Source organism: Homo sapiens, chromosome 1 (assembly GCF_000001405.40).
Source record: "Homo sapiens chromosome 1, GRCh38.p14 Primary Assembly".
Lineage (NCBI taxonomy): Eukaryota > Metazoa > Chordata > Mammalia > Primates > Hominidae > Homo > Homo sapiens.
The window spans coordinates 118,887,616-118,910,219 of NC_000001.11; the positions used below are offsets into that span (position 1 = coordinate 118,887,616).

Below are 22,604 nucleotides of genomic sequence, written 5' to 3' on the forward strand. Positions count from 1 at the left end.
AGTGAGCCAAGATAGTGCCATTGCACGCTGGCCTGGGCAACAAGAGCAAAACTCTCAAAAAAAAAAAAAAAAGCAGGATTCCAGAGACACTGGAATACAAAGAAACCATCCACAGTGTGCTAAGGACACAGGGGTCCCAGATGTGTCAATTAAGAGACAGATGCCCTCAAAGAGGAACCGAAAGTTAATTTTTAGCAGGAAAAAAAAAAGCGTTCATCTTACATCCATGGGCATAGGTAGTAGTGCTGGCTATAGAAGTACAAATTTGGCTGTTGTTATTATAATAGTTTCTTCAGAGGTAAATTTTGACAAAGCCTAACTAATAACGAAAGAATTTCAAAAGAATTCCCCCCAATGAACCTTCAAGGAAGAATTGTATTTAGATATAAATAGCTGCTGATTTTAGAGACATTTCAAAACTTCTCCTTCCTCCTTTCTAATACTCAACTTAAAATCCTTTAAGAAAAGTAAAATGATTTTTATTCCACAATTTGAGACAAGGCTAACATTGTAAATACCACTGAGAGAAGGAAGACAGCAGCTGGCCATGTCGGAAAGAGCCCTGAGCCTGATTCTAGGCCTATTAACCTCTGTCCAGCTCATGACCACTAGCAATGCAGGCCACCTCTTCATTCTCATTAGCTGTGAAATCAGGGGCTTGAACCAGTGGGCCTCAGTTTCTGTCCTTCTCAGCATATCTGTAACTGAGGTTTCAAATAATATAAAGTGTGAATCGCCAACAACAAGTACTTTCCATGGAATTATTTTGATATAATGAAGGATCTCTGGCAGGAGAAGATTCTAGAAGGAGGAGGCAGAACATCTCATCTGTCTTGTTTCTATACAGCTGAATGGCCAGGCCTTCTGTGCCTTGCAGAAATCTCAAGGATTCATTTCAAGCGTGTGGTTCCTCTTTGAGGCATCCTACACATTTTCCTTATTTTCCACTCCAAATGCTATGAGCTTCTCTGAAATTAAGGCTATGGCACAAATGGAGAAACCTGACTCCAGCTGTAAAGAGATTTGTTTTATGGGATAGTTATCTGGTCACTTCTCTTTGAAAGTTCATTCTTGCTCTCCCTGATCTGGTGTTTATGTGGTCCCTGAGGAGACCACCTGTTCAGCATGTCATACTGTCCTGTCACAGGTATGTTCTATCAGGCACTGGTCCTAGCCCTGCAGCAGGAAGTGCAAGATGGAGCAGATGACTTCCTACAACTCTAAATGGTTTTCTCTGATGGCCCAAGATGGAAGGAATGGTACTGATTTAAGGCCTCAACTGGTTTCACTACAAAAAGAAAAAAAAAAAAAGGTGGGGGGTGGAACTATTAACAAGTTACAGGGATTTCTGCTGACCAGATGAGAGGCAAATGTTAAAAAGTTTGTAGTCAGCTTGCTTGGGCTTTTAAATGACATTCACTGGAAATGAGACTTGGTGGCCTGCTGAGCTTGAGTGGGTGAAGCCTCCATATGAACTAGTGTTTGAAGGAGGCAGGGGCAAGGCTGTCCAAGAAAAGGTCACCTTGCTTCCATGCACTTTGAAGAAATGCTCTTGTGAACATAAAGTACTCAATACAGATAACAGCAATTTTTCAAAGTTCCCATAGAAAGAGAAGACTATGGTATTCATTTTGCAGAGAACAAACCGAGATACTGACAAGTCTTTCTCCTCCTATGATCTAACAGCTTGTCGAATGTTAAACAAGATTGGAATTTCCAGCCAAGTGCAAAATGAGCACAAAGAGGGAGCCCATCCTCTTTGATCATTTACAACACTTGGCTGACTAGAGATTCTCATCACAGAAAAGCTAGGGCAGGGTGGGACACCAGTCCAGGCCAGGCCATACTGATACAGGAGGGTCAGAGCTGCCTCTCAAAGCAAAGCATGACTCTCTTCCCTGTGCCCTCCTCCCCTCTGTACCTGCCAGGTCCCGAGTGCTCTGAGCATCTTGACAGAAATTTTATTTAATGGATGAGTGTGTTCTATAGGGTCCAAAAAACCCAGTTCCAATCCCAGATGTCTTACTGATTAAGGACAGAACCTTAGCAAGTTAGCAACTCCAAGCCTTTTACATTTTAAGGAATTGCCAATATCTATTTTGTAGAGATGTTTTGAGAAATAGGTAAGATATAATAGTATACATTACAAAGTGCTCATAACTGTATCTGGCACATAGGCATTAATTTAAAAAAAAAAAATTTAGTAGAGATAGGGTCTCACTATGTTGCTCAGGCTGGTCTTAAACTCCTGGGCTCAAGAAATCCTCCTGTCTCAGCCTCAAAGCATTGGGATTACAGGCGTGAGCCACTGCACCTAGCCCAGCACAAAAGCATTAACTATTCTCTTCTATGAGAGAAGAGTGAAGGAAGGAGAAAGGAACTTGGGTTCTAATGAGAATGGCTCTGCGGTGTTGGCCTCTGTCTGTGGAGCTAAGCATCTTGGCCTCTCCCCACCCTGATGAGCATTATGTCACAACAGCTACATGTTTGTTGTACATGCTAGAGGAACCTCCATCACTGTGAATGATGGAGCACTAGGCCAGGTAGCAGCTAAGGCCCTACCTGTGCCATATTCCCAAAGGCTAACCTAACTCTGGTTCCTCTCTGAATTATCTGTCCCTCCTCCCTCACTTCCAGTTCAGGACAAGAATGGCTGCCCGTGTCTCCATCTTTCCTCAAATGAAGCAAAGTGGGATTGACAGAACACAAATAGCTAGACTGGTGTTTTTCCCACTATCCTTAGAGGTCTTAATTCACTTCTGAGAAGTGATTAAAATATAATGCCCTAAGTAGCTTAAAACTTTCAGGAGTTCTGTAGCATCTGTAGGATCTGTAGGATCAATCTCCTACAGCACCAGCTCCCTTCATCCTATTTTACCCATGGGCCAATATGAGGTGACACACATGAAAATTCATATATGACATTAAATTGCTCCAATATCCAAGGCTAATGGCCAAAATAACCAAAAAGGATACGTTTAGCAGTAATTCCGTATGAGGACAATAACCTAGAATATACTTGTTTTTACCATAAAGACAAGTTAAACGTGACCATGAAAATCCTGAATACTAAACCTGCTGACTTTTGCATCTCTAAATTGATCATTTCCAGATTGTAATATAAGGGCTTTCACATACAGTTTCTTTTTCAATTTATTTTGCTGTGCTTTTCTCCCTCCTCCCCCAAAATTGAAAAACAGTAAGGCAAAACCCCATCTAGGCTAGTAAAGAATAAATTTCCATGTAATTACTTCGTTCCATGAGCCAGACTCTTCTCTCGTATAATTCAATGGCATCTGTCTCTGAGGAGTGCTGATTCACTGTGTATCCTTGAGAAGTCTTCTTTGAGGCTTTCAAACAGGTAAAAGGTAAAATATCAGCACCCTATAGACTGATCCCAGAGAATAAACCCAGAGATCGTAAAGTTTAATGAGCACAGCACTGTTCATCTCAACAAAAGAATTACTTAGTTGAGATGAGTACCATCCTCATAATGCAAACATGAACATTAGAGTGCTAATAGGAATTGCGTGGTTTCAATCTTAGAAAGACTCCTAGTGAATCATTCTCCATAAAAGTTAAAGGTATGCACAGACCTAAACTCCTTCTCTTTAAAATTGCTTTGAATATATTCATCCAATTCTCATTTTGCACATTGGTACTCTGTGCTCTGAGTGTCTCCGCTTCTTAGATGGTCCTATTTTGTATCTACCACATTCCTTAGGTGGACTGCAGCATTTCTTCACTTTCCATTAACTTAATTGTTTTCTCCCCTACTTGTTTTACTGCCTTCCTTGCTGCAGCATGCATCTGTTATCTTCATTTAGAATTCATCTGCTTCTTTCTGGCAACAGTATCTAGTTTTCCCACTATTACACACTTTCTCCCACTCTCACTGCCTTAGCCCTACCTTCAGGGAAGGCATGTGACTCAGGCCTGGACAATCAAAGCATCATATTCCCCCCTACCACAGTAATTAAAATGGAGATGACTCAATTAAAGACAATTATACTCAATGAGATTTTGGTAGAAATCTTAGGAGAAAGGTACATGCCTTTTCCCATCAGATTTAAACCTCAAAATATGTAGGGCCAGGGGTTCTGGTAAGCATGTTTATACCATGGGGAAACTGAGAATAAAGTCAGGATGATAGAGAGCAAAGTTGAGAAATGGAGTTGATGATCTTTTATGGGTGCCTACATTAAGCTTTGCCTAAAACTGCCTATTTGAGTCATTTCAGTTTCATGACCCAATGAGTTTCTTTTTTGCTTTGCCATTTGGGTTTTATTTTATTTACAACAGTAAGAATCCTAATTGATATACATCCCTAATTCTATAGGTAATTCCACTATGAATCTGAAGGGGTAGGAATATTAAGATAAAGCTGGAAGAGAGAGAAATAAAAATGAGAATGGTAGGACTAGACTATGAACCACTTTGTCAAATGGAAGCTATGGATGATTCCTTCCTAAGACATGATAAATTACCTATGAGTAGGAACAAGGGATTTCAGCTACGTAAATAGACATCTAGCTCTGTAAAAAAAATATCTAATAAGATAGTGACTTTACTTTAGAAAAATACATAATCTCTTAAATGGTTGCTGGCCTCATTCTGATCAATAAGAACAGGCTAAACAATGAAGTAAAAATGCTGGAAACTTTTCAAGATGATTTTTTCATATTAGTGTCCCTGGCAAATTGGCAAATAAGGAAGATAATGTACAGAATAGAAAAACAACAGCTGCTGTTTTCTTTTTTTAAGTTTTCTAAAAGTTCAGTAGAAAGAAATGCACAAATCTAAACAAAAAGGTAATTTCAAAAACCAATTACAACCCCACAAATGGTAAGAAGATAAAAGAGGAGTGTCTAAAGACATCAAAGTCAAAGTGGCCATTCTCTGATAGGTTTGTGAAATGCAGTTAGATAAGACATAAAAGGAAGAATATATAAATAAAAGCAGGAAAAACAATGGTGTGATCTTGTGGGAATAACATTAGGATGCCCAGAATTAAGTGAAGTTTGTAGTCTTCTCTAACAGTAATACTCATGTTTTTTCTCCTACTGGGTTTATTTCTTTCAAAGTGTATCACTTTAATTTACTATTCTTGTCATTATTTCTGTCCCAAGAAGACTTAACATTACCCACGACAGCATGAGAAATGCTAATGTTAATTGACTGCATGAGTGAACAAGTGACTCTTACTTCTTAATGTTAAAGCTTCAAGGTCATTTTACTCACTCCTCATATTATACGCACTGACATATGGATTCCTGAGACCATAAATAATTGTTCCCAACTTACTATGTTGTTATCTTCACTTAAGAATTTTGGGGGCCAGGTGTGGTGACTCATGCCTGTAATCCCAGCACTTTGGGAGGCCAAAGTGGGCAAATCACTTCAGGTCAGGAGTTTGAGACCAGTTTCAGCATGGCCAGCATGGTGAAACCACGTCTCTACAAAAAATACAAAAATTAGCCAGGCATGGTGGTGTGCACCTGTAGTCCCAGCTACTCAGGAGGCTGAGGCAGGAGAATTGTTTGAACCCAGGAGGCAGAGGTTACAGTGAGCCGAGATGGTACCACTGCACTCCAGCCTGGGTGACAGGGCAAAACTCTGTTGAAAAGAAAGAAAGAAAGGAAGAAAGAAAGGAAGAAGGAAGGAAGGAAGGAAGGAAGGAAGGAAGGAAGGAAGGAAGGAAAGAAAGAAAGAAGAAAGAAGGAAGGAAGGAAGGAAGGAAGGAAAGAAAGAAAGAAAGAAAGAAAGAAAGAAAGAAAGAAAGAAAGAAAGAAAGGAAGAAGGAAAGAAAGATGGAAGGAAGGAAGGAAGGAAAGAAGGAAGGAAGGAAAGAAAGGAAGGAAGGAAGGAAGGAAAGAAAGAAAGAAAGAAAGAAAGAAAGAAAGAAAGAAAGAAGGAAAGAAAGATGGAAGGAAGGAAGGAAGGAAAGAAGGAAGGAAGGAAAGAAAGAAAGGAAGGAAGGAAGGAAAGAAAGAAAGAAAGAGAGAGAGAAAGAAAAAGAAAGAAAGAAAGGGAGGGAGGGAAGGAAGGAAAATAAAAGAATTTTGAGTACTTTCTTCACTATCCTTTACAAAACTTATTTTCTTCTTTTTTCTTTTCTAATCATCATGCCCTTCAAATTTTATCCTAAAGTTGTCTCTGGTTAATGTTTGCCAAACACATTGACATTAGTCCCTATGATACAGAACCTAGCAGAGTTTATTCACTTATTCAATCACTATTTGAGTACTAAATATACACTCAACCAACAGGGAGTGTTTGGATCCAGGGATTTAATCATGCGGGAAAAAAATAGTGAGAAAAATGTGGATAAGAGACATTAATGAAAGAATGACACAAATAAACAAGAGCTCACCTTAAGGATACTTGGCCTACTCTGGATGGCAGGGAATTTCCCCAAGGAAGTCATATTTAAGCTGTGATCTCAAAGACAGATAGCACTAAGCACTAAGAAGGCAAGTGGGTAGCAAGGAGCCTTCCAGAGAAAGAGAACAACGTGGCAGGAAAGAGCACACCATGTTTGAGAAAGGGAAGTAAGATGAGTGATGCTGAAACAACAGAGAGAACGAGGGGAGGTGATATAGGCTGAAGCTAGAGTAGTAATAATAGCAATAATGAGGATGATCATAGAGAACATTTTTGAACACTCAGTAAATCCTAGGCTCTTTCCTAAGCACTTTACATTCATTAATCCTCATTGTTGTTATCCCTATTTTAGAGGTGAGGCAGCAAAAGCCAGAACATGCAAGGTCTAGCGACAATGTTAAGGAATATGTCTTTCATAGGTGAAAGTAAACTGTGGCCATTGAGCAGCTTTAAGCAGACTGGAGATAGAAGGTTGAGGTGCAAAGATGTGTGTTTTGAAAAAAATGATTCTCATTTCTACATGAGGAATGGCTTGGAAGAAAATGTAGAAACTATGGAAGACATTAAGGTCATGCAGTGAGAGGTGACGTCAGTGCAGAGTGGCATGGTAACAAGGAAGGTTAGAGATGTGGACAGATTTAAGAACTTAGTAATGGTTGAGCATGGGGGTAGGGCAGGGAGGGAAACTTCCGGGATATCAAGTGTTCTCCTTCCCCATGGAGAGGGCACCAGGCTGTGAGGTAGATGATAACTCAGTTTTGGACATGCTGAGCATAAGGAACTTCGGGGACAAAACAAAATATGTAATCAATTACTGTTTGTTTTAATGGATTGAATTGAGATGCTCCCTACCCCCTATCAGGAGCTCTTCATGATTATAGTGCAGAATTAGGATATTGCTCTCCTATAGCTAAAAAGGGAGTGCTTTAAAAAAAATTCTATGTGATAAGCCATACGTATGGGCATTATTCCTCACCTCAGTGATAAATGAGATCTGTATAAATCAGCTATGTTTTTATCATTACAGTGACGTCATAGTTCAATGGCTCATGTCCACTAAATTGTCCTTCTTTCCCAGTATCTTACTTGTATGACTTGATCGGTAGCTGATCCCTCTCACTAACCAACCTCAACTAATACAAGTCAAACTGATGAAAATTCAATCATCAACAGAGACCCTCATAATCCTAACTCTTTAACTGCCTGACAAACACTGAAACACCCAATGGTACTGAACTCGGTAGTGATGTCCACCAACTCTCTTGGGGAATGGAGAGCTTTTGTAAATGGTGGATCCCCTCATGTCCACAGATGGAAAGTTGGCAGTTCTGGTGTCATTGGTCCAGAATGATTCCTTTTAGAACAACAGTTATCAAATAGCTTGAAGTCACTGCTGATAAAGCTCTCGGTTTTGGCCACTCAAATAGCTCCATTATATACATGAGGAAGTTGAGGCACAGATTTTATTCAAGTATATCCATCAGAACAACAACAGGATTGCATTGTATTTAGTTATAACTGACCTGGACTCTTATTTCCTTTTCCTTCTATGTTTATATTTCCTCAGTCACTTTCTCCAAGCATAACTTGCCTGGTTAGTTCATTTGCTCCTTGTCACTAGCAGTGTTCAGGCAAAAGCCATTCCTGAGGTAGAATCTTCATCTCCAGAACCTCCAGCCTCTCTGGACTCTCCAAACACATAAACACCCTTGAGTCTAACTGAAGACATCTGAAGACCATATACTTGACTTATAAAAAAAAAATTGACCTATTGAGAGTTAATGCTCAAGTTGTTGAACAATAAAAACCATCAATAGGAAGAGCAAACTAAAATCTTTGTGGAAAATTAAAGCTGTAGTAAGAAAGAATAAGAAAAATAATGTAACCTGGTGGAAAGGAAACTGTCCTGTCAAATAAGAGATCTGCGTTGGTACTCTGAACTTAGCTCTGCCACCACTTAACTACAGATATGATACTAGACCAGACTTGTCCAACCCATGGCCCAAGGGCTGCATGCAGCCAAGAATAGCTTTGAATGCAGCTCAACACAAATTTGTAAACTTTCTTAAAACATTATGAGATTTTTTGTAGTTTTTTTAGCTCCTCGGCTATCATTAGTTTTAGTATATTTCATGTGTGGCCCAAGACGATTTTTCTTCTTCCAATGTGGTGCAAGGAAGCCAAAACACTGGACACCCCTGTACTAGACTGTGTCATGCCTCAGTTTCTTTTTTGTGTCAAAGGCAGAAGATAATGAATCTCATGCATTCTTCTCCTTAAACAACTATTTACAATACTCCATTCAATGTGATTTTAAAAATAAAAAGACTTAAATTTTTGCAAAACTGTGGAGAATTTACCTAAGTGCTTTCTTCAAAGTTTTATCAGCAGATGAGTCTTAATGACAAGAGAAATAAAAGATGGCAGCCAAGGCAGGATGAAAAAAGCATTCTTAACCTCATCTATGCAGAAAGACAGATCCACCCTCACCAGTAGCAGCACAAAACTGTCTAGGACTGCTATGTGACATGACAGATACTCATATGCTGAAACAATGAGGTAATATGGACAATTGGATAAGTCAGTCACTATTTGGCACCAATCTTAGGTTTGGTGCAAACACTGCCAATACTCACCTCATTAAAAGGGAATTGCTGTAAAAAATAGCCTACCACTGCAGTTTCCACTAGAAGCTCATTCCTCTCTATTCCTTCTAAGATGCAAAGCAGTTCAGCATGCATGGCTGTGTCTCTTCTCTTCATTCATGATACTGTCCAGAGTCACTGAAACTCTTAGTTCTTAAGGGAAGAGGGGATGGGTGTTGTTGGTTTTACATCCTTTGTTAACGTCAAGAAACCAAGCCACATATTTTTTAATAATGAGAATCTGGATCAACTTCAATGGATATTTCAAAAATATATTCCAATTAAACTATTTAATAGAGTCCTGGCTTTTTCTCTAACCCCATCCCATCACCATATGTATCCAATAATTCAAGTTCTTTCTTCTCTTCCGATAAAAGTGAGGGTCACTGAAGCGTTTTGAAAGTTCAGTTTATTTGAAACCATTGTTTTCAAAATGTCAATAATAACCCTTCATACTGGTAAATTTTTAGTATAAGTACCATGAAGCCTGCTATGCTGCACATCTAAGTAACCCATGCAAGCTTCCTGTGTCTGTGCCTGCCCAATGGCGTCCCTCAATGATCACTCCTTATCAATGTCTACATACATATTAGGTGGTTGTGCTCCAAGAAGAAGTTTGAGAGTGGCTCTGCCCACCTGAGCCACAGTGCCAGCAAGTGATCCCATTCACTATTCATTGGGTACGTACTGGGTGCCAGGCCCTGTAGTAGATCTTGGGGATACAGCATTGAACACAATTGTTGCCATTAATGCCTGCCCTCTGGAACTGGCAATATCCCTGCCAACCTTCTCCGACCAGCCTCCATGATACAAACTCCTGCTTAGCTAGAGCTTGGAAAGGCAATGAGTAAAGCAAGGGCAGAGAAGCAAAGAAGCCACCAGAGAACTAAATCAAATCAATGACACATTTTTGTATACACAGCATGTTTATATAAATTTCCTCACACCAAAAAATTATCCCTCTTTTGTAGGTGAGAATACTGGCATGCAGGAATAGAAGTAAATTGCCTCAATGTAGAGAATTCATGACCATCAAAGACGGGGGCCTAGATTTTCCTGAGTCTCTTTAAGCCCCTGTCTCTTAATGGCCATCCGTGAGGGCCTCAAAGCCATGGTGACACCTTGAATAACTATTGACTCTGCTTCTAATCACAGCTTTGTAGGGAGGAATATATAAAAGAGATGGAAATTCTGGATCACTTACTTCACCAGATCGCTGTGAAAATGAATAGTCTAATCATGTTTTAAATAATTAATCGTCAGAAAGGCAATATTCCTTGGTCCTGACACAACTTTGCTTAAGTGTCTACATACAGGGACATAAGGGCCTTGAAGGTGAAGATAATGAGGATGATGAAGACAATGATAACTAGTTGTATTAAATGCTTACTATGATTTTAAATGCACTATCTCATTTAATTCAAGAATTCTATTTGATTCTACTTTTCCAAATAATGCAGACGATAAAACTGGGTGTCAGAAAAGTTGAGGGACTTGACCAAGGTCACAAAGCTAGAAAGGATCAGTGATAAGAGCCTAGCCTAGACCTAGTCTAACTCCAGAGTCTATGCTTTTAATCACTACACTCATCTTAAAACCTGACAGATTTCAGCAATTTAGGTTACAAACCTAATTCAGTGTGCAAAATGTTAGAAGCTCCCCTGAAAAGGGTAAGTTAAATATAATATATGGGTGCTATGCCTGGGAAAGCTACAGACAAGACTGAGAAAATTTGAAATAAGTCACAACCCATCTGGCCACAGGTTTCCCAACCTGAGCTGCGAGGAAAGAAAAATTATAAATTGGATAAAAAGCACAAAGTTCAAAGCAGTAGGGGGGAAAGTCTACTTATTCCACCAACTGAGAGGGGTGTTGTTTTATATAAGCAAAAAAGGAAAGAACACAAGTTGCAAGGTCCAGATAGGCTTGCAGCAGCCCATTCCTCACCTGGAGACCTGATACAATTTATTCCCATTGTCCAGAGCTAAGATTTTGCTCATCACGAAACTTTTCTTATTCTAAGAAAACTGAGAAGGCTACCATGAGGAATAAATGAAGTTATTAAAAAAATCTCTTCAAATACCAAGGCATATGTGAATGCTTAGCAATATTAATAATAATATCATCATCATTATAAATATATAACTGCACTCTTAGGAAGGGAGAGAGCATTTTGAGTGCCAGATGAAATGCTGCCTTTGGACCAGCTTGTTTACCCAAGTGGTGATGCTTTGGTTATTTACAGAGCTCCTGAGTTCTCTTCATTCCAGGAGAATTGGTATAACCCATATCTTGGCCTGAGGCCAGATGTGCTATATTCGGTTGAGCTCCCACTCTGTCCCTGGCCCTATCACTAAGCAGAGGCCTTGCTCCAGGGCTTTACCTTGCTGCTTCTGCATGGTGGTGAAGTCTTCGAAGGTGAGTGTGCGCACAGGAGGTCTCCAGAATGCATATGTCTCCATGATGGCTTCAAGTCCAGTTCTGACAAGAGAAAAGCCAGCAAAGGAAGTCATAAATAATTTCAAGAAATGCATTGACTTTTCAGAGATCCAGAGGTGGACTGTCAAACAGGTAATAAAAACATAGATACTAAGCTACCACCATCAAGGTAAATTCGGGTGAAAAAACTCAAGGTACAATGATGCTGGACTGCAGGGGGAATAACAAATTAACCCAATTCAGATCATTTGCAAGCAAATCTACAACTATGATGGAATTTTATTCTGACCCTCCTTTAAATGAGGCTAGGTCTGCAGGCAAAAAAGCATGGTAAGTATTAAAGGTCAAGGCCACTAATATCATGAGTACAGTTGTGCAGAAAGTAACATTGACTGCTTCTCTAGCACAGAACAATGTCGTCATCATTACCACACTGCACTGACACAGCCTGACCGAGAGTCAACTCCTCACCTTGGGTATGTACAGAACGAATGGAACTGTCAAACTGCTGTGGTTTTAAAGGCTTCTTAAATCAACAGAGATGAATAGGGCAACAGAAATAAAAGGAGAGGTAAGCAGTGAAATAGACTTGGGTTTCTGCTGCAATAAGAAACACCTACCTGAAGATAAAGAAAGGGCTTGGTCTCAAAAATTATGGCTCAGGCAAAAAGACTAATACATTTCTCCAAATATTCATCTGCATTTTAGTAACCTAATAATCAGTCTGGTCTTTGGCCATCACAAACTGTCAGAGTTCAGGAAGTATCCAACATTTTACGAGTACATTCCTTTAAGGCTCCTGGTTCATTTGTATTGGAAATTCCATAAATTGGACTATGTGCATACTGTCTTTTTACCCTTCAATTAACTATGTCTCTAACACATATGCAAGTGCTGATATACATCATTTTCACATGATTATTGAGATTATCTCAGACATATTCTTGATGATATCCATACCCTCAAAACAAAATATCAGCTGGGGCTTTGTTTGAAGCTTTGAACACAGCTTCTAATTATTGATCTTTCTTTAAAAAAAAAACTGCTTCACTTAACTAAACAGAGAGAGGAGAAGTGTGGGACCTGTGAGAAAGGTGGGAGGAGAATAGGAAAGAGCAGATGGCATAAATCTTTTCATTGCAAGGTCACTGGAAGGTGGGTGGTATGGCATCCCTTCCTGAAATGGATTAGCTTCCCCTTTTGAGATGAAACTTCTGCTGCCTGTGTTTCTTTCTTGGTAATGTATTTCCAGAGTTCTCTTCAGCCTTACACAACAAGAATAAAGAAATTTTATTTTAGGTGAGAACAAATATCCTTTACTTATCAACAACTATAGGATACCCTGAGGTTCTTCTCAGATGAGCTGCTGATACGCTGATTGACTCTTTGTGTTGGAAAATTTCCTCTCTGAACAGGCCTCACTTGCACAGTTAACTTTCTAAAGTCTTCCCTGGAATCTTGGAGGCTTTAAATACACCAATGTTGGCAAACCAAACTCTGTATTTTAAGAAGAGGTTCAGAGAAGAGAGTGTTACATGGTGTTTATTAGCTGTTAATCTGTTAGAAGTAGGAATAGGAGACATCTCCACATAGTCACTCTACATTAATGTTGAATACAGTACATGAAACTATTTGTGGAGAGAAAGAGCCCAGGCAATTAGGGAGTTCAGAATAATAAGGGGATAGGCAGATAAAGCCACACTGAGCCTGGATGGATAGAAGAAATAGATAGGCCAGGCTTAGGTCTTACTGCTTTGTTTTGGAATGTTGGCCACCCACCAGAATATCTTAGGATTCCCTTTAATGGCACAGGAGGCTCACTGAAAATGGCAGAGTCTTTATTGTTCCACCTCCTAGTTCATTCTTCCCAGGAACATGTACTGATGATGAGGACAAAATATTAGCTCAAGGACAAAGAACAGTCCCTTCTCAGTTCATAATGAAGTGCTGGAAGACTATGAAATTGCAATAATATACTGATACACTGCCAATATTTTATTTGTTGAATAAATAGAAAATGAACTTCATTTTCTATCCTAGTTCATTTTGTGCTGCTATAACCTACCATATGCTAGGTAATTTATAAACAATAAAGTTTATTTGGCTCACAGTTCTGGAGGCTGAGAAGTCCAAGAGCAAGGTGCTGGCACCTGGTAGGGGCCTTTGTGCTGAGTCATACATGGTGAAAGATGGAAGGTCAAGAGAGGGCAAGAGCAAGAGAGAAAGGCACCAAACTTATTCTTTCATCAGGAACACACTCCTGTGTTAATTAGCCATTCATGGGGCACAGCTCTCAGAGCCTAATCACCTCTTAAAGGTCCCATCTCTTAACACTGTTTTATTGCAGATTAAGTTTGGAACACATAAACTTTGGGGGACATATTCAAACCATAGCAGTTTCATTTTCATAATAGGCAAGAAGACTGTGACAAAAGTGTTAATAGTTTTATTTTATTTAAGCAGTTAACTCTATATAGAATAGTGACTATTTACTCATGAATTCAAATCTAAAATCCAAATAAAAGAACTGAGTTGTAAAATCACATATTTTAAATCTAGGAAGAATCTTGGATGTCATCTACTATAACTCTTATGACACCATCTTGAATGGTTATCCACCTCTGTTGGTATATATATATCCCCAGGAAAATTTTCAGTTTTTTGATTGATCTGATATAACTTTCACCCTCTGGTTCCATTACCAATAAGTAAATAGTGAGAGTGACAGGCATTTCCCACAAGGAGTCCACCTGCCACATCCTCAGCAGGGAGACCTTCCTTAGCTAACGAACATAAAGAACAACATGCCACCTATGGACACATATGTAATCCATCCAGGGGTCTGTTACAGCAAGGATCAGTTTGGTAGTGGAATTGTGTGGGGAGGGTTATGGCTCCCAAAAAAATAATGGCTAAGACCATACATGCCTAACCATGTCTTATTAATCCACAGTGGATCTATGTCTTATAAATATATCCTACATAGCATATATATAAATTATTCTATAATAGAAATGATCCTATAATATATATTATCCTACAGAGAATAATATTGGTCTCATAGATTTATATTATTGATTTTATTTATGTATTCAGTGTGTATTGCTTTTTAGAAAAATTAATCCTATTTATTTACCATATTCTACCTGTTTTATTTGTCCTCAACCCTATTATGCTTCATTGGATAGATCTAATTATTAGAAGGTACTAGTTCTATATATCAATATTTGGTGTAGTGCCATGGCAAGATTAAACAATTCACCTCTCTCCACCACTAGTATGGTCGCATCTCAAGGGCTTAGGTCCCATGTTCTTCTATGCCCAGTTTTCTAGCACAGTGCTGGTTACAGGATAAGATCTCAAATGATATGCATTGAATTAATAAGTAGAAGAATGAATGCTTTATTGCTGAGTCATTCTTACACTTTAACAAGCATTCATTTTTCTAAGCCTAAAACTTAGGAACACAACTTGGTGTAAAATAAAGTATCTGAAGACAGAAGACATCCTCCAGTATTAGAGATTTGGGAATTGTTTCTATAGCTGATTGCGATTGTGCCTTTATTAACTTCAGGTTCAGAGAGGTTTGCATTTTCCTTGTCTTTTTCCATTCCAGCCATAGAACTTCTGAGCTTCAGCAGAGTCTGAGTTCCCTTGCAGGGGTGAGTCATTTCACCTCCCATCTTTTCTTTTGAGAGTTCTTGCCAACCACCTATTAACGTCTTCAGCCAGTTGGATGTCTAGTCAAAATTTACCCTGTGCTACACATTGTTTACTCATTTGTCATCATTTTACTCTAGTTTTGTAAAATTTTATCTCCAAGTTTTTAAAAGTGAATTCATTGTCTAACGGGTGAAAAAAGCAGTCCTAGGTAATGGTATGCCATTAACGTGTTCCACATGGTGAGCCTCTCAGGTCTGCTGAACAGCAGAGACCTGATGTCATCTCTGAGATTTCCAATCAGAGACGGTCAAGTTGGCAAGTGTCCCCCTCTTGCTCATTTTTTCCCTGTTAGCTCCATTGACAACATAGGCCGTATCCAAACCACCTTTGTTCAGTGCTTTGGCTGTAATCACCTCTCCGGTTTCCAGGCCTCTTCTCTTTAGGCTTTTCAGGCTGCTCACTAGCCAAACCAACAGAATGTGCTGAAGAGAAGGAGAAAGAGGAAGAAGAGAAAGCAAGCCAAGGACCTCTTTTGCAAATTGATGATGGCTTGAAATCAATTTATTTGGAAAAATAGTCAGACTACAGAAAAAAACATCCTTGCAACATTTTCAATCCAAAAAAGATGGCAGTATCATTCCTTCAAAGTTCAGCAAATATTTGATAAGTACAACAATAATTATAATAAATTTCATGACCCTACTTGGTAGCACTCCAATGCATATTTCTGCTTTTCTTTTGTCTTGAGATAGGGAGTTGCTTTTTAATGTTTCCTTTGTTTATTTTCTCTTTAGTTCTGACTTCCTTAATTTTTACTCTTCCCCATACTATTTGCTGGTGACACTGGTAACAAAGACAACGTATGCTATAGGTTGATAAGGCCATTGGTCTTCTCAGTAGAAGATGGAAAAGGACTAAGGGAAGCCTACTGAGACAGAGGTCTTGAAGTAATAAGAGAATTATCCAACCAGAAAAAAATACTTATAATACTAAGTTCAGGAAATATAAAGACAGAAAAGACACAGGGTCTCTACCCTTTATGACTGTCTTGTTTTTTAAAAAAGGAACAAGATATAAATGACTAGTTTCTGAACTATGCAGTAAATGTTACACTGAAGGCATGTATGCCAAGATGCCATGGAATATTGGGCAAGAATCACTTAATATACCTGAAAAAGTCAAGGAAGATTCCACAAAAGGCCAGTTATTTAAGCTTACTATTAAAGAGTAATCAGCAGTTTTCCATCCAGAAAAGAGTCAGTAAAAGTTTTTCTAGTAGACTTAACAGTATGTGCAAAGACTTGGAGGTATGCAAGAGAAGGCATGTTTTGGGGACATAGTTCAGGGTGACTGGAGCCTAGGGTACAGAATGGGAGAAGGGCAGTAGACACCATGAGCATTTATTCCATGACAGGTGCTTAGATTTTGTCCCATGGGTGGTGCTATGCCTCTGATCCCCTTTCTTTTCCCTTCTAGTATTTGAAAGGACATATAACTAGAATATACTGTTCCTTCAGATATAATTATCACATCTCAACATTCATAGATTTTCTTGCTTGGTTTAGGTAAGGCCAAACCTTCCATACTTCTTTCTCCTTCACTGGATCTGAAATAGAATTACTCAGATCAAAATATCCAGATTACTCAGGAATGTTATTGTCCAGGGATATTCTAAAAGACCTCCCAGCAGAGGTGTGCAAATTGACTAAAAACCTAACCATCATTCAAAACTTGGTGTTAAATAGTACCATAAGTATATCTACATGATGAAGTAGCTGTCATTAATGTGCCTTGCAATGGTTTGGGAGAACAAGTGTCCAATGGACAGATGCCTGGAGTTGAGTTAAAATTGCTCCTTACCAAGTGATTCCCAACTTAAGAACCCTGTCCTCCCTTGGAGTATGAATCAGCAGTAATGGCAGTCCATAAAGAGTTTTCATTGACTCAATAAGTGTAGTAATAACCCATGATCATACAAAGTTGGCTAACTAGAATATTAAGTTTCTTTGCATTTGACTGAAATTGTCTAACTTTAATTCAGTAATGCTAAAATCACATGAGGGACAAAATAGCATAATGGTTAAGAGCACAGGCTCTGGGGCTAGATTACCTGGCTTCAAACTGCTACCCTGCTGACTATTAGTACAACCTTTGCCAAGTTATATAACCTCTTCATTTCTAAGTCTGCCTATCTGTAAAATGGAGATAATCATAATACTTCCTCCTAACTGTGATTTAATAAATGCAGACTGATTAAAGACAAAATGTATCAAAAAAAGAGAGAAAACATAATGAAAGTTTGAGGACCATTGGTCTAACTCAAGCAAAAGAATTACAATCATTCTCCTCAGACTGTAACCTATAATAGAAGAATATACTCTTACTTCACTGAAATCCAAAGTTCTGTCAGCCCTCTGGCTCTGGATTAAATGTGGAGGGAGCTGTATGGTACCTAATTCCATTTTTCGTTGTCTTCTCAAAGAAACAAAAACGTGTCCCTCAAGTCCCTCTAGGCCTCATTATCTTGCAGATATTTCAGACTCCAATATGTTAGCCATTAAAAAGACGTCTCTCTGTTCGATGACACCATCCCTGGGCAAAAGCCACAGATAACAAAATGATCGCCAATTTTCTCTGGCAAGGCCACACAGCCAAGAGGACAATGGTGGAAAAGGCTCATGACAAGGGAGGGCGAACAAATAAGGCAGAAAAAATGTTAAGTACTGGATAAAAGACTACAAGCCAAAGAATATGATAAACAGCTATGGCCTGCATGAAAAGCAGGAGTCCAGCTGGATCATCTGCCAGAATCCAGCACAGGGCCAGCTACCTTGAATTGTAGATGCAGTAGTGCCTGCTGGAGTGTCCAGCACTGATTACTTCCATAGATCTGCTAAATGGCATAAGCCACCCATGCCAGGGATAACAAAAGGGTTTGCAAAATTTTGGGGGGCTGGTAAGAGTGCCAGGAAAGAGTAGAAAGAGATTGGCTGGACAAATATACCCAATGGCTTTAGGGAAACCAAATGAAAATATAGAAATTGAAAGTGAGATAGACACTTGAGATGTCATGCTGGTTGAATTAAAGACAAGTGGTCAGTTCACTGGCTCTAAGCTCACTACATGAGTCTTCAGGAGTGACAGGGAGCCAGAGGTGGACAAAGATACAATTTCTGTTAACTAGCAAGCTATGCCTAGCAGAAGAGAGTGAAACCATTCTCTGTACACTGTCATTAGCTGGATTTACAAATTCTGAAAGCTAATACCTCATGGTGTTCAGTCTTACCATCAGTAAAATGGGAAATAGTGCATTGACGTCATCAACTTGGAGATAAAAATGGACAACTTGGACCACAGATACTCTGTGAAATAATTGTTACTATTGCTTGTATACTTATGATTTGAATGGCTAACAATAAATATATGAGGTTAAACTGTATGAAATTGCTAGCATTTTGCCATTTTTGACCTATAAATACAGTAATTTTCTATGTTTAACTTAATAGATAAAGGTATAGATAAGATTTGAGTTACTTGGTTATAATAGAGAGCTCTATTAGCAAATTTTAACGGAGATCCTCTGTATACCCTTTCTCCTCCCACCCCCAATGACAAGTTGTTTCAGATTTCAGCAAAAACAAACTGGCCCTGGGATTAATTTCTAGCCTACTTTTCCTCGTCCCTTCTTTTCCTTCTGCTAATATTAGGCACTTTGATTCCTCATCTTACATTCCACCTTCCATTGGGTGTTGTGAGAAGGGGCTGGCCCTCCAACAGGGGACGCCTATTTGTGCCCAAGAGAGGTGGTTCTTTATAAACATGGCCATGGGACAGCAGCTGCTGAAGAGGGGGTCATGGGAAAGTTCTTTACTCCCAGATATTTTCTCCACCTCCCCTAGACAGAAATTATTTCTCTCAGGTTAAGTATCAACCTCATTAAACATTCTCTTTCAGTGAGCAAATATATCCATTCCCGTAATGCAGTGAGTGGCACCAGTCTTAGATCAGCATCCTCTGACATGTTATGTAAAAGGACACTAGGCACCAAGAAGGACTGCCACCAGCCACATTCCCAGCAAACAGCACTGCTGGCTGCAAACACTCCAAGAATGAACTGAGACTCAGATTTCTTCTTGCACCTCATCCTGCAAGCCCTATTGTTTCTTCAGTGAGGGGCAATTCATTAAAACTACTTACCCATATAAAACAACTTCCTTGTGATACAGAGCCTGCCACTGGCTCCTTTCTGACAGTTTCTAAGTTATAGAATTTGAGTTTCTGGCTCAGGCTTCCAATGGTGGATTCGAAAGAGAAAAACATACCCTCCTAAAAAGTTGTACCAATTCCCTGGGCTACAGAAGGGCCATTCCACTTGGGCCCTATCATGGGACCAACAGCAGTGGCTTTGGGGTGCCATACCAGCTGGAAATATCTGGAGGAAACTGTGTCAGATGGGACAGTCCCACCTGCAGCTGTACTAGATGCAATGGAGGCTAGGAGTAAGGGTAAAGCCCAAGGTCACAGACAGGATGAAGGCTCCGTCAGAGGAAATCCCAGAGTCTTTCACTCCATAGCACTTTTAAGACAAGTTCATAGAACCCTTCACTACTCAGACAGACCACAACCTTAATAATCTCATTTTTATGTATGTGTTTGCTTTGGAGGAAGTCCCTGAGAATTATTATATAAAATTTTCCAAGCTGACTTGTGCTTTCTGTAAAATCTTGGCAGCCACCCTATCAAGGATGGCTTGATAGGAAGAAGTTTTCACATCAGATGTGGGATGAAAGATGCAGTCTCTTTCTTTCCACTTCTTTGGTTATCTCTTTCATGTGCAGGGTCTTGGCAGTTGTCATGCTCCCTCTAGCTGAGCACAGTGGACTCTCCAGGTATGTGTGCACATGCACCTCCCATAGGTGCTTCTCAACAATTAGACCCAGTGCAAAGACTCTTGCTCCTCTTTAGCTTCAGGATCTTTGTCTTCTCCTTGGTGCAGGTTCCCCATTGGGGTGGCCAACCTCAAAGACATAATTTTACCTCTTGGTTCACTACTGGGTGTCCTTTCTCAACCAAACCTCATTCTGCTTTAGCTCAGTCTCTGGGAACCACTTCTTTCCTGAAGCTCGCAGGCACTGAAAATTGCTAGGTATCTTTCTCCAGGGAGCCAGAACACACAGACATGCCCCAGCTACCCAGAGCCAGATCAGAGGGTCTCAAGGGTGTGTGTGTCTAATCTACAGTTAGGCTAAATCAATGTCTTACAGCAGTGATCAGTCTCCGATTTTAATCACAATTGCCATTAATCTTTAAACTAAGCCTATTTAGAGATTTGCTCCTTCTTCCCTCCTTATGTGGTGTTCAAAACTAGCTCCTCACTGCTGACCTACCTGATTTCCCCCTGGCTGGGATAGGGCTTTCTTTCTCTAGAGCTCCTGATTTTTAATTTCTGTGCCATTCATCAACACCTTTTTACTGTTTTGTAGCTAAATGAAAAATTATTGTTTTATTCTCTATTCCTGGCACCATGGAAAAAAAATACAAGAACAGAAACCTGCAATAGGTACAGTCCCAGTCTTCCAGGAGCTTATATTCTAGTAGGGGGCAGAGCCCAGGAACACAGAGCACAAGACCAAAAAAAAAAAAAAAAAATCTCAAGCTGAGAAAAGCTATTTCTCCCTGAAAACAGGCAAGTGTTACTGTCTCCCCAAGTAAGAGAAATCTCCCAGAGGCAACCCTGGATATTGTGCCTGACAGCTACAGGCCTGATAATAGGTGAACACTGCCCCCATCCCACACACACACCCAAAACCAGATTTGGGCCACACAATTTCTAAGAAATCTAGAAGTAGAAACAACTTAGAAAAAAGAAAATAAAACAATTTCCCTCCTATTGCAGAGACAATGCCTGGAAGCAAAATCTGTCAGTGATTTCACTCCAGAATAAATGGCCATCTGCTATGCTTCCCCACGACGTGAACACACACGTACACCTACTCCTGTCTCTCTCTCTCTCTCTCACACACACACACACACTCACACATATATAGGTATACTTATACTTGCACACACACACACATTCACACATATATGAATACTTACAATATTTATACATACACACATAGACACACACTCACACATATACAGGTTTACTTACACATACGCACACTCAACATTCACACACACACACACACACACACATGCATGCATGCTCCCAGTGAAGACTTCTCATCAGGGGCTTAATTACTTGGTAATGGAAAGTAGCAGTTCCATAAGTCAAGTCTGAAGGGTGGAGACCTTCCTATGCTTCTCACCTGACACTTCCTAAAGAAGCAGGGAGAACTACAATAGGCTCTAATGATGGTGGCACCACAGGACTGAAATGTGGACTCACTGGGGCTCCCCTTGGGGTCTTACACAGTCCAATGAATATCACCTCTTGTTTCACCCAAGCTCAGAATCTATTCTGTGGAAGGCACAGGAGCCTAATGCCATGGAGACCAGAATACCATTTTTACTATAGATAAAGGTGTTTGGGGGTTGTGGCATAAGCGAGAAGGCTGAATGAGCTGGCTTGAACTCCTCTGAAATAAGCTGATGCCCCAGAAATGTAGGCCTCCTCTGCTAGACTTTCCACATAATGAAAAGACAGCTGGGAATGTATGTTCTGCAGGCAAGCAGGCAAGAATCTGGGGGGTTCCTTCCTCCAGACTCATGAATCAGATCAGTCATTCTGGTTCCCATTGAGAGGAATGAGAAAGGGATGGGGCTGGAAGCCAGGAGGACTTCTCCATGGATATCTCTGTTTTGTTGTTGTTGTTGTTGTTGTTTGTTTGTTTGTTTTCTTTTTCTTCTTTGAGACGGAGTCTCGCTCCGTTGCCCAGGCTGAAGTGCAGTGGCATGATTTCGGCTCACTGCAACCTCCACCTCCCAGATTCAAGCAATCCTCCTGCCTCAGCGCCCCCAGTAGCTGGGATTACAGGCACGCGCCACCATGCCCGGCTAATTTTTGTATTTTTACTAGAGACAAGGTTTCATCACGTTGGCCAGGCTGGTCTGAAACTCCTGACCTCGTGATCCACCCACCTCGGCCTCCCAAAGTGCTGGGATTACAGGCATGAGCCACCGCACCCTGCCAGATGTCTCTTTACATCAACATATGAAAAATGGGAAGCTAGTATGCTCAGCCACAGGTCCCTCAAGCACTCTTTTCTATGCTTCGGAGGACATAGTTGTCAGCCAGGGGGCTACACTCGGATGGTTCTGAGTGTGAGAGGCTTATGGGCTGAGAGAGACTCTCATAGGCATTTGAGGAGAGTGTTGTGGGTGGCTGTGTCCTCCCCATCTTTCCTCTCATTCCCCTCTTCTTGAGCCTCTGGATTGTACTAGGAGGGATTGAGATTGACAAACCTGAACATGTTTTGGTTTGAGGTTTGGCAAACTCTGTAACTCCAAAGTCTTCCACAAATGTTTTGT

General features: G+C 40.1%; 1 protein-coding gene across 8 annotated transcripts in view, besides 1 other annotated feature; it reads right to left on the reverse strand.

Annotated features, from left to right (window-relative positions):
- Window positions 1-22,604, reverse strand: part of TBX15 (T-box transcription factor 15) — a 106,464-nt gene that overhangs the window by 4,569 nt on the left and 79,291 nt on the right. For 4 of the 8 annotated variants that reach the window (XM_047429124.1, XM_005271161.5, XM_047429135.1 and 1 more), the window contains exons 7-8: window positions 11,413-11,510; window positions 3,252-3,350 (exon numbers count right to left, since the gene is read on the reverse strand). In XM_047429124.1, coding sequence (XP_047285080.1) covers window positions 3,252-3,350; window positions 11,413-11,510 — 197 coding nt within the window. The remainder of the gene's footprint in view (window positions 1-3,251; window positions 3,351-11,412; window positions 11,511-22,604) is intronic. The other 4 variants (NM_152380.3, XM_047429138.1, XM_047429131.1 and 1 more) reach the window with 1 other exon arrangement.
- Window positions 18,716-19,121: an enhancer, noted in NCBI's record as "ENSG00000092607_1:119250477-119250882 (NCBI36/hg18 genome assembly) insert fragment". NCBI's record gives its function as "drives selective reporter gene expression in differentiated C2C12 myotubes {active_cell/tissue: C2C12}" and the evidence as "EXISTENCE:reporter gene assay evidence [ECO:0000049][PMID:22144875]".